We start from the raw sequence: 15,045 nt of genomic DNA, 5'->3' as shown, positions 1-15,045 counted from the left end.
CACTGGAGAACTCTACCAAACATTCTGAGAAGAATAAGCTCTGATTTTAAACATTCTATCCTAGAGAATAGAAGAAGAAGGACTACTTCTCTATTCACTTTATGAGGCCAGTATTACTTTGATACCCAAACTAGACAAAAACAGTAGAATAAAAGGAAATTACAGACCAATATTTCTCATAAACTTAGACACAGAAATCCTCAACGAAACATTGTTTTTTCTTGGAATCCATGGGGAATTGGTTTCAAGCTCCTGAGAATACCAAATTCCACAGATACTTGTTTCTTATATAAAATGGCACAGTATTTGCATATAATCCAGGCATATCCTCTGTATATGTTAAATCACCTCTAGATGACTTTATAGACATGCTCTGCTTAACGACAGGAATACATTCTGAGAAATGCGTTTGGTGATTTTGTTATTGTGCAAACATCATAGCATGTACTTACACAAGCCTAGATGGTATAGCCTAGGACACACATAGGATATATGATCTAGCTTATTGCTCCTAGGCTACATACTTATACAACAGGTTACTGCACTGAATACCGTAGGTAATGGTAACACAATGGTAGGTGTGTGTATATTTAAACATAGAAAAGTTACAGCAAAAATATAGAATGATAATTTTAGGAAATCATCGTTGTATATGTGGTCTGTTATTGACTAAAATATTGTTATGCACTTCATGATTGTAATACCTAATACAGGATAGATGCTATGTAACTTGTTGTTATACTATATTGGTTTTTATTTTTATTATTTTCATTGTTATATTGTTATTTTTATTGTTCTTTTTCTAAATATTTGTGATCTGCAGTTGGTTGAATTTATGGATGCAGAACCCACAGATATGGAGGATTTTGAGTGTACTAGAAAATCAAACCCAATAATATATTTAAAAAAAATATGACATGGCAAGTAGGATTTCTCCCAGGTATGCATGGCTAGTTCAATATTCGAAAATCAATGTGATCTACATTATCTACATACAACAGGCTACAGAAGAAAATTCATGTGTAATCACATCATTTGATACAGAAAAAGCATTTGACAAAATGCAACACCCTTTCATGATAAAACCTGGGTCTGTTCCCTGCCCAATAACTGCATAAAAGGGAATAAATTTGTGACTATTGAGAATGAAGAATGTTCCATCAGCTGATGAGAGATTTGGCAAGTGTCTAGAAGACAAGAAATGATGGATGAACCAAGGTGGAAGACATGCTCCAATCCAGAACATAAACTGCCTTATGGAGAGGCCCACCTGACGTGGAATTGAGGGAGGCCTCTGCCCAAAAGCTAGTGAAGAACTGAGGTTCTTAGTCCAACAGTTCATGAGGAACTCCCTGCCATCAATCATGTGAGAGAGCTTGGAAGTGACTCTCCCAGTCAAGGCTGCAGATGATAGCACAGACTTGGCTGAAAGCTTTATGAGAGACCTTGAAGCACGGGTACCTAGGTAAACCATGCTCAAATTCCTGACCAATAGAAACTGTGAAAAAAAAATACTTCTTGTTATAAGCTGCTAAATCTTGGTATAATTTGGAAGGCAGACATGAGAAGGTATGAATTCCATTTCCAGCAGTAATTGAATTGGTCATAGAGCAAGTTTGAAAATCTTTATGACACCAATTATACATGTTTCTTCTTTTTTTGTTTCTCTTGTGCCTGTATCAACATTTCACTCATGATACACTAAGCTTCCCTTCTTTTAAGCTCCACCTATTTCTTAAAACTTTCCAATTAAAGTGGCTGAATGCAATAATCAGCCAGAGACTCTGTGCTTTTCTGTCTAATGACAAAAAAAAAAAAAAAAGGAAAACTCTCCATCTGGGTAGAAATTGATAATTAGCCATATCCAATTCCTGGACATCTGGCTTTTAAATGAAACTGAGCATAGCAATGTCTCCTCCCTCGGCATTATTTTACTGAAAGTGCTACGTATTCTTCTAGTACTTAAAGGGACAGCACCAATGTAACTTGAATATCAAGTTACTAAAGATTTGTCTCAATTGTTTTTCATACTACCAAAATCTTAGCTGTTTATCATAGAAAATTTGGAAACTCCAGAAAATCTCAAGAAGAAAGAAAAAAATCTCACCATTCAAGATAAGAATTGTCACCATTTTGGTGGTGCTCTTTCCAGGTTTACTTTAAAATGAAAGGCATTTCAGAATAACAATATTGCCCTCTACAATAAATCCTCATTTTATAAAAGCATATTTTAATGAATAAAATTTAACAAAGAAAACCAAATCATTTATTTCACTGAAATTCACATCAATATCTTGACACAGTTTATGGTTTGGCTGATGACATTGATAATCCGCCCTAACAACCAGTCTGAGTAGCTCAGGGGAACATCCCACAAGACCAAAGCAGCCCCAGCAGCACGTTGAGAGCGGTGGGGCTCAAGAGAAACAACATATGTTTGCATCCGCTCTCCCTTCATGCTGCTACAGCTCCCCCGTCATTTGGGGTTGGGGAGGGATCCAGAGACTTGCACCAAGATCTTTAGTAGACTGGAACCAGCTTAAAGAACTGAGAGAAAGTCAGTTTAGAGATTTTATGAGTTGGCAATTACACACAGCTATTATTAAAAATTAAATAATATAAAATTGCAATTCAATAAATTATATTGAAAACAAAGGTAATAAGCACTCAAAACTCATCACTTTCAAATCATTTTCTCACATTTAACCATTTCCTATGCTCCTGATGCCATTCCATCTCTTGTATCTAAATGGTGGAAAAACTGTATAATGTTCTAGGGCACATCTACTCAAAACACTAAGTTCAATGATGTCACATTGGTAGTTTGAAATTGGCCAGAGCGAGAGCATTTACACCAGGGAACTCAAGAAATGCTCAAAATCTGGGCTTGACTTATTGTTTTGTTGATAGTCTAGTGATGGAGAAAATGTTAATGCTGTACATTAAAGTTAAAAGCGTGTCACGTCTATTGCTCTTACTTTGCGAATAGCACACAGATTGAGGAAATATTATTCCGGTATTTAAAAACCATTATCAAATTCTTCCAAGTCGCTCACATTATAGACAAATAAATAAAGTTCTAACATATATCTTTGTTGTTTCATTTTCATCTTACTCATTAATGACTAAGAAAATATCAGCCAGGATTCTTGTCAAAACTACACTTGTTTGTTATTTATAATGATAGGTTGGCTACAGATACAAAAGTTCAGCAAAAATCAATGAAACAATCATGGGCAAAAATCAGGAGAATTATTGGCTATATGAAAGTCACATTAAAGAACATTTTCTGTTTTGCTAATATTTATACACTATGTGCTATATACTCTTTTTTCTCTATTTTTTCTTTTTGTTTGTTTTTTTTTTTTTGAGATGGAATCTTGCTCTGTTGCCCAGGCTGGAGTGCAATGGCATGATCTCGGGTCATTGCAACCTCTGCCTGCGGGTGCAAGCAATTCTCCTGTCTCAGCCTCCTGAGTAGCTGGGATTACAGGCGTGTGCCACCATGCCCAGTTAATTTTTGTATTTTTTTTTTTTTATTAGAGATGGGGTTTTGCCATGTTGCCTTGGCTGGTCTTGAACTCCTGACTTCAAGTGATCTACCTGCCTCAGCCTCTCAAATTGCTGGGAATTATAGGCGTGAGCCACTGCACCCAGCCTGTGCTATATACTCTTCATATCAGTAAAATTTAAAAGAAACTTTAGTTTGTGTGTGTGTGTGTTTGTGTGTGTGTGTGTTTGTGTGTGTGTGTGGGTGTTTCAGAGAGCTGGTTACTAATCATTTACCAGTGTACTACTGATTAGAAGCAAATGCTTCCTTTTGCCCTACTCGACTTAGCCCCCAGCTAATCCCTTTCAGCAAGGTTTCAGCTGATGAATAAATAGGAAAAGTAAGTGAAAGAAAAATAAGGGCTGCAGGAAATAGAAGAGGGAGGAAGAATATAAAAGAAAGACAGGAAGGAAAAGAAAGATAAATTTCTCCCTGACTTGCCTGTGTACATCTTTCTTTCTCTTTATCTTTTACCATCAGCCAGCAGCTGTCTTTGAGAAAGGAGACAAACCATTGCACAACCCTTTAGGAGTCCTGGAACCACAAATATGTCAGGGATTAGCTGGTAACCCCACTCATAAGAGAGCTAAGAGGCCAGCAGTCTCCACCAACAATGACCACAGTGATCTGGGTCAGAGTTTTTTGTTTTTGTTTTTGTTTTTTTAAATTGAGCTGTAATTTATACACAGCAAAATTCACCATTTAAAAGTATAGTTTAATAAGCTTTGACAAATGCAGACAGTCATGTAACCACCACCACAATCAAGATATAGAACTTTTTTGTCATACCCAAATGTTCACTTGAGCCTATTCGTGGTCAACCCCTCCCCATTTCCAGCTGCTGGCAACCACTGATTACTTCTCTATCCCTCTTATTTTGTTTTTTTGCAGACTGTCCTATACCTTATGAGTCCAGCTTCTTTCACTTAGCATAATGTATTGGAGATTCCCCCGTGTTGTTGCATGTTTAGTATTTCCTGTCTATTTACTGCATTATACGGATGTACGATTGTTTGTTACCCATTCACTGGTTGAAAAATATTTGGGTGTTTTCAGTTTGGGGTGATTATTAATAAATCCATTATAAATATTTGTGTACAGTTTTTTGAGTGGGTATATGTCTTCATTTCTCTTGAGTAAATACCTTGGAATGGGATTTTTGGGTCATACGGTAAGTGTATATTTAACTTTATAAGAAACTGCCAATCACATATCTTAAATGATGAGCATCTTTTCATGTACTTATTTGCCATCTATGTATTTAATTTGTTGAAGTGTCTGTTCAAATTTTTGCCTATTTCTAAATGGGATTTTAAAAACCTACTGAGTTGAGAGAGCTCTTTATGTATTTTGGAAATATGTCTTTTAATGAATATGTATTTTATAAATATTTTCTCACAGTCTGTAGCTTATATTTTTAACAGTGTCTTTTCAAGAGTAGAAGTTTTAAGTTTTAATGAAGTCCAGGTTATCAGCTTTTATTTCTTTTGTGGATCATGTTATAGGTGTTGTATCTAATGAATCTTTGCCTAACCCAAGGTCACAAAATTTTTCTCCTGTGACTTTTTCTAGACATGTTACATGTTGTACATTTAGGTTAATGATCTATTTTTACCTTAATTTTTGTGTGTGGTACAAGATAAGGGCTAAGGTTCTCTCTTTTTTAGTATATAGATGTCCAATTGTTCCATAATCATTTGTGATTATCATTTAAGAATCTTCTTTCTCCATTGAGTTGATTTTGCACCTTTGTTGAAAGCCAATTAACCGTATGTATGTATATGGGTTGTGTTCGAATTTTTAAAAGAGACTTCAATGCTAGGGGCTACCAACTACTTTTCTAGGGAGGAAAGCTAGTATCTCAGAGAGCCAGACACTGTTCTCACCAGTTCTGAGAGATGAGTAAATTCCTAAAGCAGGAAGCTTTGAGGGAGGCTCAAGCATAGGCTTGCTTTACCTTGAACTGAAAGAGACAGGTTATTGTCTGACTACTAGCTACCAGGCTCATGGTAGTCCTCATGTGCCTGAACACTAGGCAATCCTGAATATGAGGAGACCTTCCTTTTTTTTTTTTTTCCAAAAAAGCGACTAAAAAATGATAGGCCAACTTGGAAACAATACACACTTCTAAGGATATAGTCAAAACAGTCAAATGTCTGTTTCTAAAAACTTTGTTATAATTAACTATTATTTATTAAAATCCCATATCATATAAAATGACATGTGCATTTAAGAATGTTCTAGAGTTTTTCTGTCTCACATATTATGACCTAGTTTTACTTAAGTTCCTTGCATGTATCTTCAGCATTATAATCTTTGCCAACACTAGAACCACGCTGGTGTCATCTTACCCCGGTTTTTTCCAAGCACATCAGCTTTGTTTCATTCGATCTGTTATTTGAAATACAGCACTTTTTGAATCCCAGCAAGAAGCTGTCTTCAGCAATTTTATCATAAGCTACAAGTACCTATTTACATAACATTATGGGAGTTGGCATTTTTATTCATTTTGAACCCATGCTTTTATGATTTCTACCTCATAATTATTTATAGTGTTTTTTTAAAACAAATATATTTAGAAATTGTATTGTGCCTCTTCCAGTCCCCCCATCAAGGAGGATGAGATAAGAGAAAAGAGGAAAGGAAGGCACTAAAACCCCTAAAACCCAAAGCACAGGGATGGTGCCAAAGAAAAATGGGAAGGCCGGATTGATAAAAGGGTTGGGTCAACTCCCAGGTATGCCTTGTGGGTCAAGAGAGTGGGCAGTGGGAGTTGGGTGAAGCACTATTGGCAGCAGGGTGATGGTAGTCTGGGGTCCTAGACACCAGGGACCCGGGGTTTCCTCCTTGTCTAATGAGGCAGAACTGGATTCAGGATTAAGGGGCTAACCAATATTCCCCATCAGTAGAATAGAACTCATATTTTGAGGGCTCACTGGTGAGTCCTGGGCTTTATTTCTGCCCTCTGACTTGAAGACCTTCCAACATCCTTATAAAGTGCAAAGCAGTGAGTGAGTAGCTCTTCATTTATGTCTCCATGGATGGCAACTTAGTGCCTATCTCTATGTTCCTGAAGAGGGCTGGGCAGTTTCTTTTTTTTTTTGTGTGTGTGTGTGTGTGTGTGTGTGGTCTAAGTTTCACTCTGCCTTCTTAGGTGCTTTTCACTTCCTTTTGGAAAATATCTTTTGTTAGTAAAGCTGAGCTCACATGAGTCTCCTAAGTCTCTTCTGCCCTATTTCAAAGTGTGTGTGTGTGTGTGTGTTTATCTTCAGGGGGCTTAGGAGCAGGTGTAGCTGTGTATGTTTGCATTTTGGCATTGGTGTTAGTTCGGAGTTCAATCAGAAGACAGACACCACATAGTAATTTGAACATCAGAAATTGAAATAGAGAACTATTAACTTTAACAAAAGATTAGAGTAAGAGGAGATTAGCTAGTCAAAGGTAAAAATAACTTTAAGGCCGAAAGCAACCTAATGGAGAGCAGCTACAACTCAGGGCTGAGCTAGAGCATCCAAGGAAGAGACTCCTCCATCCTGGGCTGAGATCCAGATCCAGACCTCATTGGTAGAGGGTGCAACCATGGCTCACTGGATGGAGAAGAGGTTTGCTGAGGTCCTCTGCTGGTGGGACTACCTGGGAATCCACCCTCTAGATTACCAGGGGAAGCTCCCCATGGGGAGGTGCCATGCCTTGGATCTCATTGCAAAGCTCTGTGAGAGGATTTTTGGGGAGACATTTCTGGGGAAGTGCTGAGCTTAGGGTACTCCATTGCAAAGCAGCCTGAGAAGGTGATAGGGAACGATGCCCCTGGGGAGGTAGCACTTACTGCTGGCTGCTGGACACTGCTATCCCCTGTGCACTGGAGGAGCTGATGCTGTGTAAGCCAGTGGGTACTGTAGGAGCTTGCTGAGAGGTGCACACCAGAAAAGGACAAGAAATCCCTTCTTCCTCCAGTGACCTTCTAGCACCCTCTACCGACGAACATCATGCTAACTAGCAGAAGAGAAATACTGAGTCTAACTCCATTATTGCAGAGCAGGCAGTGAAGGGTGAGTTCAGAATGGACAGGTAATAAATTGATAATTGGCACAGCATCTCATGCCTGAAATGTTTAGGCTTCCTTCTCATTCTCATCTGAAGTCAATCTGCCTGGAGATGGGGACTTTTTAAGCTCCAAGCCCCATTGTGGGGTACACACTGCAGGAGACCCCTGCTCCAAGACACAGGGGAGCTGTGTCATGGGACTGGGGACAACAAAGAAAATCCTCCTGCTAAAACCAGGAGAGCAGCAGCAGCATCACTAGATGTTGCCCAGGCTTTGGGTGGAAGTTGGATTCTGGTGTGGACTCTGTTGCCATCTGCAGACCAAAGTCTTCTGTGTCTGGTTAGAGGTAGGCAACCACTCTAGTTCTCCTTGTATGTAACGAACTTGGTCAGTCAGATGGAGGTTGATGATTTCACTTTGGAACTACACATGTAGTAGTCTGCTGCCTGTCCTTATCTTTGCCATAATAATCTCTTTCAGGCATGTCTCATGATGCCGAACACTACAAACATGACAGTGGTAGTGAACCAGTGTAAAGCAGACTGTCAGCACAGGGGGTGGGGATTAGGAGGCAGGAAGTGGAGAAGGGGGAAGCTCCAGGTGTTCTGTGCCTCTGGCCATGGAAACCAAAGATACTTCCAGGTCTCCATAGAATTTCAAGTTGACTCAGGCTGGCTGCCTCAGGACACTGCTCTCAAGAAACACAGCTCCTGGTGACACTTGAGGGTCTTCCAGACAATGTAGCCAATTCATTCACTGTTGAGGAAAAAGTATCTTTCTGGCCTCAATGTGCCCTACCATCCCCCTACAACCACCCCATTTCCAAAGCGTCCTGGCCTAGTTCCCAGTCACAACTTTCTTTCAGGAGCACCTCCCACTTGCTTGGGAATGATGGCTTAGAGGTGATAAAATTATCAGTGATCAAAGAGATTCTATTGCTGCCTTTTTGTTCATTGAAAATAAGCTGAGGCCAGTAAGAGCGAAGCATTGCATGAGTCATCAGATGCTGATGAAAATGACAGAATTTGAAGCTCCAAAGTAATCTATAATCTCAATCAAGAAAATACTAAATTTTGCCAGGAATAATGCCAAAATTTAGATTTTTTGCTGTTATTAAGAAAAAGAGTAGTATTTTAAAATAAAAGACTTGATTGCACCTAGATCTTTGCTTTCTGTGTAAGATTGCACTAAAACCTATCTGCTGTCTGTATTTGAAGTAGTTACAACCTTTCCGCAGCCTCGCTGTAGGAGATAGATACCCCTAGATGAACTTGGAAAGCCTAGAGCAGGGGGAACATTTGACTCTCTTCTCTGGAACCCTGGGAGGAAATCACCCGACAGCGTGCTCCTTGCCAAACTGAGTAGAAATGGAAGGTTAAGTAGAGAGAAGGCTGGACACAGTGCCCACAGCCTGAACATGGCGGAAGCACACTGAGCTTTCCAATAGGTCCAGCAATAGGCATGACAGGGGCCATCTCACCTTGGAGCATGGTGACCTATAGCCCAGGCTCTAGGGTGGGAAGCCGAAAAGATCAATGTGAGGTTGAGTCTCCAAGCTTCATTTGAGCCAGAAGGGGCTGAATGGGGGTGGCCATAGTGGGCCTTTATCACATTTAGACAACAGGCTACAAGTTACCAGCTGTAAAACCTTCAGCTGCAGCAAGGACACAAGCATCTGGGGCACAGCCAGACGAACCCCTGTACACAGATATATCCTGAGGGGAAAGAGAAGACGAGAATCCTTGAGAGTGGATTGCAGCTCATGTATTGAATTTGAGCTCCAACTTACTGAGCTTAAATCTTTAATTTGACTGAATATTTACTCCAAGAGACTAACCTTGAAACTGCAATGACACAGTTACCTTGAGAGTGACAAGGCTGAGTTTACCTCTGTCGTTGAAAATGGAAACTTTAAAGTTAAATTGAATTCCACTATGGAGAAGTAAACTAAAATACATTTCTTCTCACTTCAGTTGTACATTGTGAATTTTAAATTCATTACACTATCATATTCTCCCTTTGAAGTCTTAAATAATTTATGTAGTGTGGACAGCAATGTGACTCAGCTGTGAGTTCAGCACTCCTGTATTGGCAGTGTCTGTGGAGCCCACACACAGACCTGGGGCAGATTTCCTGTCTCTGTCTCCTACAGAGAGGCTGGAGGGACGTTGTAACTACTCCTTTAAATACAGGCAGCAGATAGGTTTTAGGCAATCTTACAAAGAAAACAAAGACCTAGGTGCAATCAAGTGCCTCATTTCAAAATACTATTATTTTTCTTAATAATAATAGCAAAAAGCTAAATTTTAGCATTATCACTAGCAAAATTTAGTATTTTGTTGATTAAGCTTATGGATTACTTTGAAGCTTCAAATTCTATCATTTTCACCAGCGTCTGATGACTCATGCAACTCTTCATTCTTGCTGGCCTTGGCTTATTTTTGATGGGCAAATGGGAAGCAATAGACATGTCTTTGATCACTGATAATTTCACCACCTCCAACCCATCATTCCCAAGCAAGTGGGAGGTGCCTTTGCCTCAGAGTCCATAGGACTTCTCAACTTCTCCCAGCTGACAATAGCCCAATGATGACACAGTTTTTTCAGAGGCCAGGACACATTACACATCCTATTAATTAAGTTTGTATGACCAAAAAAAAAAAATTTATTAAGCACTGATGATATGCTAAGTGCCAGCCTGTAATGTTGAAAAATTACAGCCAGTCATATGTTGAAAAATAGGAGTTTCCTTCAAGGAGCTCACTGAGGGAACTTCAAGGAGCTCACTGAGGAAAATAAGATAAGAGAGTGGACTGACAAATACAGCCTAATGAAAGCATTTGCTGAATAATCTAGGTGAAATCTCTCAAATAAATAGACTGCTTTTCCCTCTCCTTTGATGACTGAGAGGACAGAGTGAAAAAGAGCAACAAAGAGGCAAAACCAGGGACAAGAATCAGGCAATAAGTCAAGTTGGTGGTATCAAAACAGGAATGAGAGAACTGTAATGATGGAAAAAATGCTGTAAAAACATTAGCTTGCCATCTGAGGAAAACTTGTCTGACATGTTTCTTCTCAAACTAGTTTCATCCTTCATTTACCATTAGTCAAAATTCACATTATGGCCCATGAGAAGTGCCCTTCTCTGATCCAAGTCCTTTCTAATTTGACCTGTGGGAAATCCAGTGGGTTGAAAGCACTGTGGTGCATTGTGGGAGGGAGTGGTCTGCTGGTAATGGAGCCATGTCAATATAGTCTGCTATGGCAGAAGAAGTAGGAGCTGGGAGCTGGTAATTGAGGAACCAGGAAAGCAAGGAGATGATAAGAAAGAAAGGCATTCTTTCCTTTCATTCAAGTGGCAGGAATAAAAGGCTTTAAGAAAATTATTATTTAAGGCAGAAGAGTCTTCTATTAAAGGGCTCTGTCTTTCCTCTCATATTAATTAAACACACACACACCCCCACAACCTGTGGTACTTATCTAGTATTCTGAGGAGGAAGAGAGGTCAATTACTTTCATAAAAAAATACTTTATGCTGAGACATGCAAGGGAGGTTACTTTAAAATATAATAATCTTATCATTTGTATATAATTTCATTTTCCAAATAATAGGTGTTTTCAAATAGAGTTTGCTTTGGCCTAATTCTTTAAAATGTACCTACAGCTAAACAATAAGTGAGTACAAAGGTGAGTATGTATTAATTCTAAAACTGATTCTATTTATGAGACGTTTTACTTTTTAAAAATGCTTACTGTAGTTTAATACTCATATTTCAAATCCTTTTATTGACCCGTACTGTCTCAGTACAGCATTGATAACATAACATAACATCCACAATAATTAATATCATAAACATGAGATTATGGCTTTCTTACAAAATGTAGCAGATGAGAGAAAGAGCTGAGAAAAACAAAGCTCTTTTCAAAACATGGTGTCTTAAAAACAGTTATTAAAACTGATAGCAAAGAGAACACAGAGCAGTAGCTTCAAAGTCACTTGTGTAATACCTGATTTCTTATTTACTTGCAGAAAATGTGCTTACGGCCAAAATATTATCTCACAAATTAGTCTACCATACTCATATAAAGATGAAACAGAACCTTTTAGCAAAATTCCACCATAAAGAACTACCCTGATGTATTGTTTCTGGGTCCAGTGCCCCAAATCCCAATTATGGACCTGCTTTTCAGGTGCTTTGTTTCAGGTGCTAAACAAAGAGGACATTGGATCTGCCTTTTGTAAGGAAACAAAAGACTGTGGTTGGAGACATGTGATGCCCATCATTTGCTCCTGCTGGCCAGAGGCAGAAAGGACCAGGGGAGGGGAGAAGAGACAAGGGCTACATTACTTAGAAACATCAAATTCTGATGCTGGGAATTTAGGAGAAGCATCCATAGAGAGCCTGGAATTTCTCTTTCTCTGTGTTTTTTTCCTTTTCTTTTTACTTTAAAAAATTGGTATATAATAAATGTACATACCTTGGGGTACATGTGATAATTTAATACATTTATGTAATTTCAAAAGATCAAATCAGTGTAACTGGAATGTCCTCACCTTAAATATTTGTCTTTTCTTTATGCTAGAAACATTCAAATTATTCTCCTCTAGCTATTTTGAAATGTACAATAGATTATTGTTAACTATAGTCACCCTACTGATCTATCAAATACTAGATCTATTTCCTCTATCAAACTGTATATTTGTTTCCATTAATCAGCCTCTCTGTGCTTCCTGAAACAAAGACATCTAACCAGACCTTGGATGGATTCTTGTTCTGGGCTGAAAAGCTTGAAGAAGGGAGAGCAGCTGCAAGGACAGCAGCATTGGAGTGATTTAGTCTTTCCGTTCTGCCTCTAGCTCCTTAGCTGAAAGCTTTTTCTTTGCCTTTAGAGGAACAAAGACCTCTGGGTCCTTAAGGTCCCCAGAGAACCACTTGGTCCCCACAGTGCAAGTCATCCAGTGTAGCATATGGCTAAAACTACCAAAACATCAGAAGGGTCAAAATGATTCTGAAAATTGAGGCAAATCGTCTAAATAATTCTACCAAAATTGTACTTTTGTTCAAACACATAGATGGCTGAGGCAAAAGTGGTCCTTTTGGCTTATCTTAGACAACAATGAAAATTATTTACATCATTTGGTAGGTTTAGATGAGAATTAAAATACACATTTTTTTGAAAAAGTATATTAATGTAGATGAAACTATTGGAATACATTTACCCATAGTATTTCTGAAGAGCAGATGACAATGTCTAAAAGACAGATTCTTATGGCAAAATTGTAGAGTGCAGTGTGAAATCTGCACATACCTTAACTTCAGGGGCATTAGTCATAATAGTGACCTACTTCACTGGGTTGTTAGGACATATGTAATATTCTAGGTAAAAGGAAGGAGATTCTTTGAGCCAACCAGTGTGTCTAACCTTCCCAGAATCCCATGATAACTTTCTTTATTTTCTTTTTTGGTTTATTTGGCTGAAGTTAATGTTAAGACAAGATATATTCTAATATATATCAAAAGAGTTTAGAACCCATGGGCCGAAGAGTTTAGAGCTCATAGTAATGCAAATTACTTACATCATTCCATTTAATACCAGAGTGATATGAGCTCTGCACTGAACAGCCAAAGCTGCAAATAGTTGGCAAGAAAATGAAGGGCCTGTCCCAAAAGAATGCTCTGCTTCAGGCTCTACCAAAGACAAATTCTTCAGTGGAGCATATCAGCTACCATAGGAAAACAGAAGCAAAGTTATGTCAGTGATTCTAGAACCCATACTGCTCTGACTTGAAAGTACGTTGGTGTTTGTTGAAAGCTCATTGTAGCATCATTGGCTATGATCAAGTTCTCATGGTAAAAGAAAAATAGTATCTTTTTTGTCAGAAAAGAGCGTTTGTAATAAATATGATACATTTAAACTTGGATTTTCTTGTGGAAAATAGACTAGTTTTTTAAAGGATAGCACTAAGTTAAATTAATTTATATATCTATAAAATGAGCTTCTTCATTTGTACATTCAATGACTCTAGCTGATTTTCCCAAAATATATCACACAGTCAAACATTCCCACCAAGCTAAGACTAGAAACAAGTTGTTAGTAAGAGGAATAATGGTGAGAAGTAGACCTGCCAAGACTGAATAATTAAAAATGATCCAGAGTTGAAAAAAGCAGAGTATTTTCCCCCACCTCCTTATGTTACAACATCTTACAACAGTAGCACAAATGCTTCTGTGGTTTACAATGAAAATGGCAGAATTCCTTAGGCCAAGGGACTCAGAATATAAATTCTCCCCCTACTTTCCATACTGGGGCCATAGTGGGAAAGATGCAGCTCTCTTGTCCTCTGGCTTTTTCAAATACAGAAAATTAATTTTAATTTTTATTTATTTATTTTTGAGAGGGGCAGTCTGGCTATGTTTCCCAGGCTGGTCTTGAACTCCTTGGCTCCAGCGATCCTCCTGCCTCAGCCTCCCAAAGTGCTGGGATTACAGGTGTGAGCTATCACACTCAGCTCACCCTTCTTGTTTTTAATAAATAAAGTGAAAGCTTTTTATAAAAAGAATGTTGCTTGGCTATTCTCATCTCTAGTAAAGATGGAGAGATAGTAATAGGATTCGACTTCATCAGAAGGAGTTTAGGGTGAGCTAGGAAGAATTTCCTGCATCCAGGAGTGATGAGGCAAAGAACAGCTCCTGATGATTGTGCTTTTCCTGTCCCTGAAAGAATTTGCAGATGATGATACAGCATGTATTTGGTGGGGTGGTAAGCGTAGTAATGGGATCAGGAATGCAGAATATTAGTTATGGAATAACAGGCCGCTCAGTTGCTAAGGAATCCTAAAAATAGGGCATGAGTGACTAGCTGAGAGGGGTGGGGAGGAATGGATGGTTTCCTGGGTTTCATTGGGCGCCCAGATCTGACAAAGACAATGCAGGGCTGCTTTCTGCAGCTGCAGAGATTGAGCAGCAAGCGTGGACAGACAAGTCTGAATCCTAACTATCTTGCAGAGCTATTCTTAATAATAGCTTAGCTTTCTTCCTGTGCAGGCCAGCCCCAACACACACAGTCCTCAGACTCACAGTAAAGTCTTGAGGCTTGGGTTCTTGGGGCAGAACAGAGGTCCACAGTTCCTCCAACAACTGTGCCCATATGCACATCCCCTCTTCCAGCCCCATCTAATTTTCAAATGAATTCCCCAGCTTGGAAACTGTTTGGGTAACAGACTCCCACCCATCATTCCACAGTGTGCAAAGCTGACTATTTGCATACTGTGGTGAGAGAAATCTAATAGGTGAAAAAAGGGTGGATGATTTTATTTTGAAGCAAAGTTGTGTTTGTTGTCATCCTGGACAAGTTGACCTCTGCAAAACTTCTTGTTTTGAAGATTCCACAAAACTATTTTAAGCAAAGTTTACAGCTTATCAAATAAATGGAGAAACTCCCTAGGGAA

General features: G+C 38.9%; 1 annotated feature.

Moving 5' to 3' along the window:
- Window positions 7,422-7,716: a silencer, noted in NCBI's record as "tiled region #7502; K562 Repressive DNase unmatched - State 12:CtcfO". NCBI's record gives its function as "represses a minimal TATA promoter and a strong SV40 promoter by Sharpr-MPRA in K562 cells {active_cell/tissue: K562}" and the evidence as "EXISTENCE:reporter gene assay evidence [ECO:0000049][PMID:27701403]".

The sequence above is a fragment of the Homo sapiens genome, chromosome 5, assembly GCF_000001405.40.
Source record: "Homo sapiens chromosome 5, GRCh38.p14 Primary Assembly".
In the NCBI taxonomy this organism is placed as follows: Eukaryota; Metazoa; Chordata; class Mammalia; order Primates; family Hominidae; genus Homo; species Homo sapiens.
Note: the sequence above shows the minus strand (reverse complement) of the source record. Positions and strands in the feature narration are given on the sequence as shown.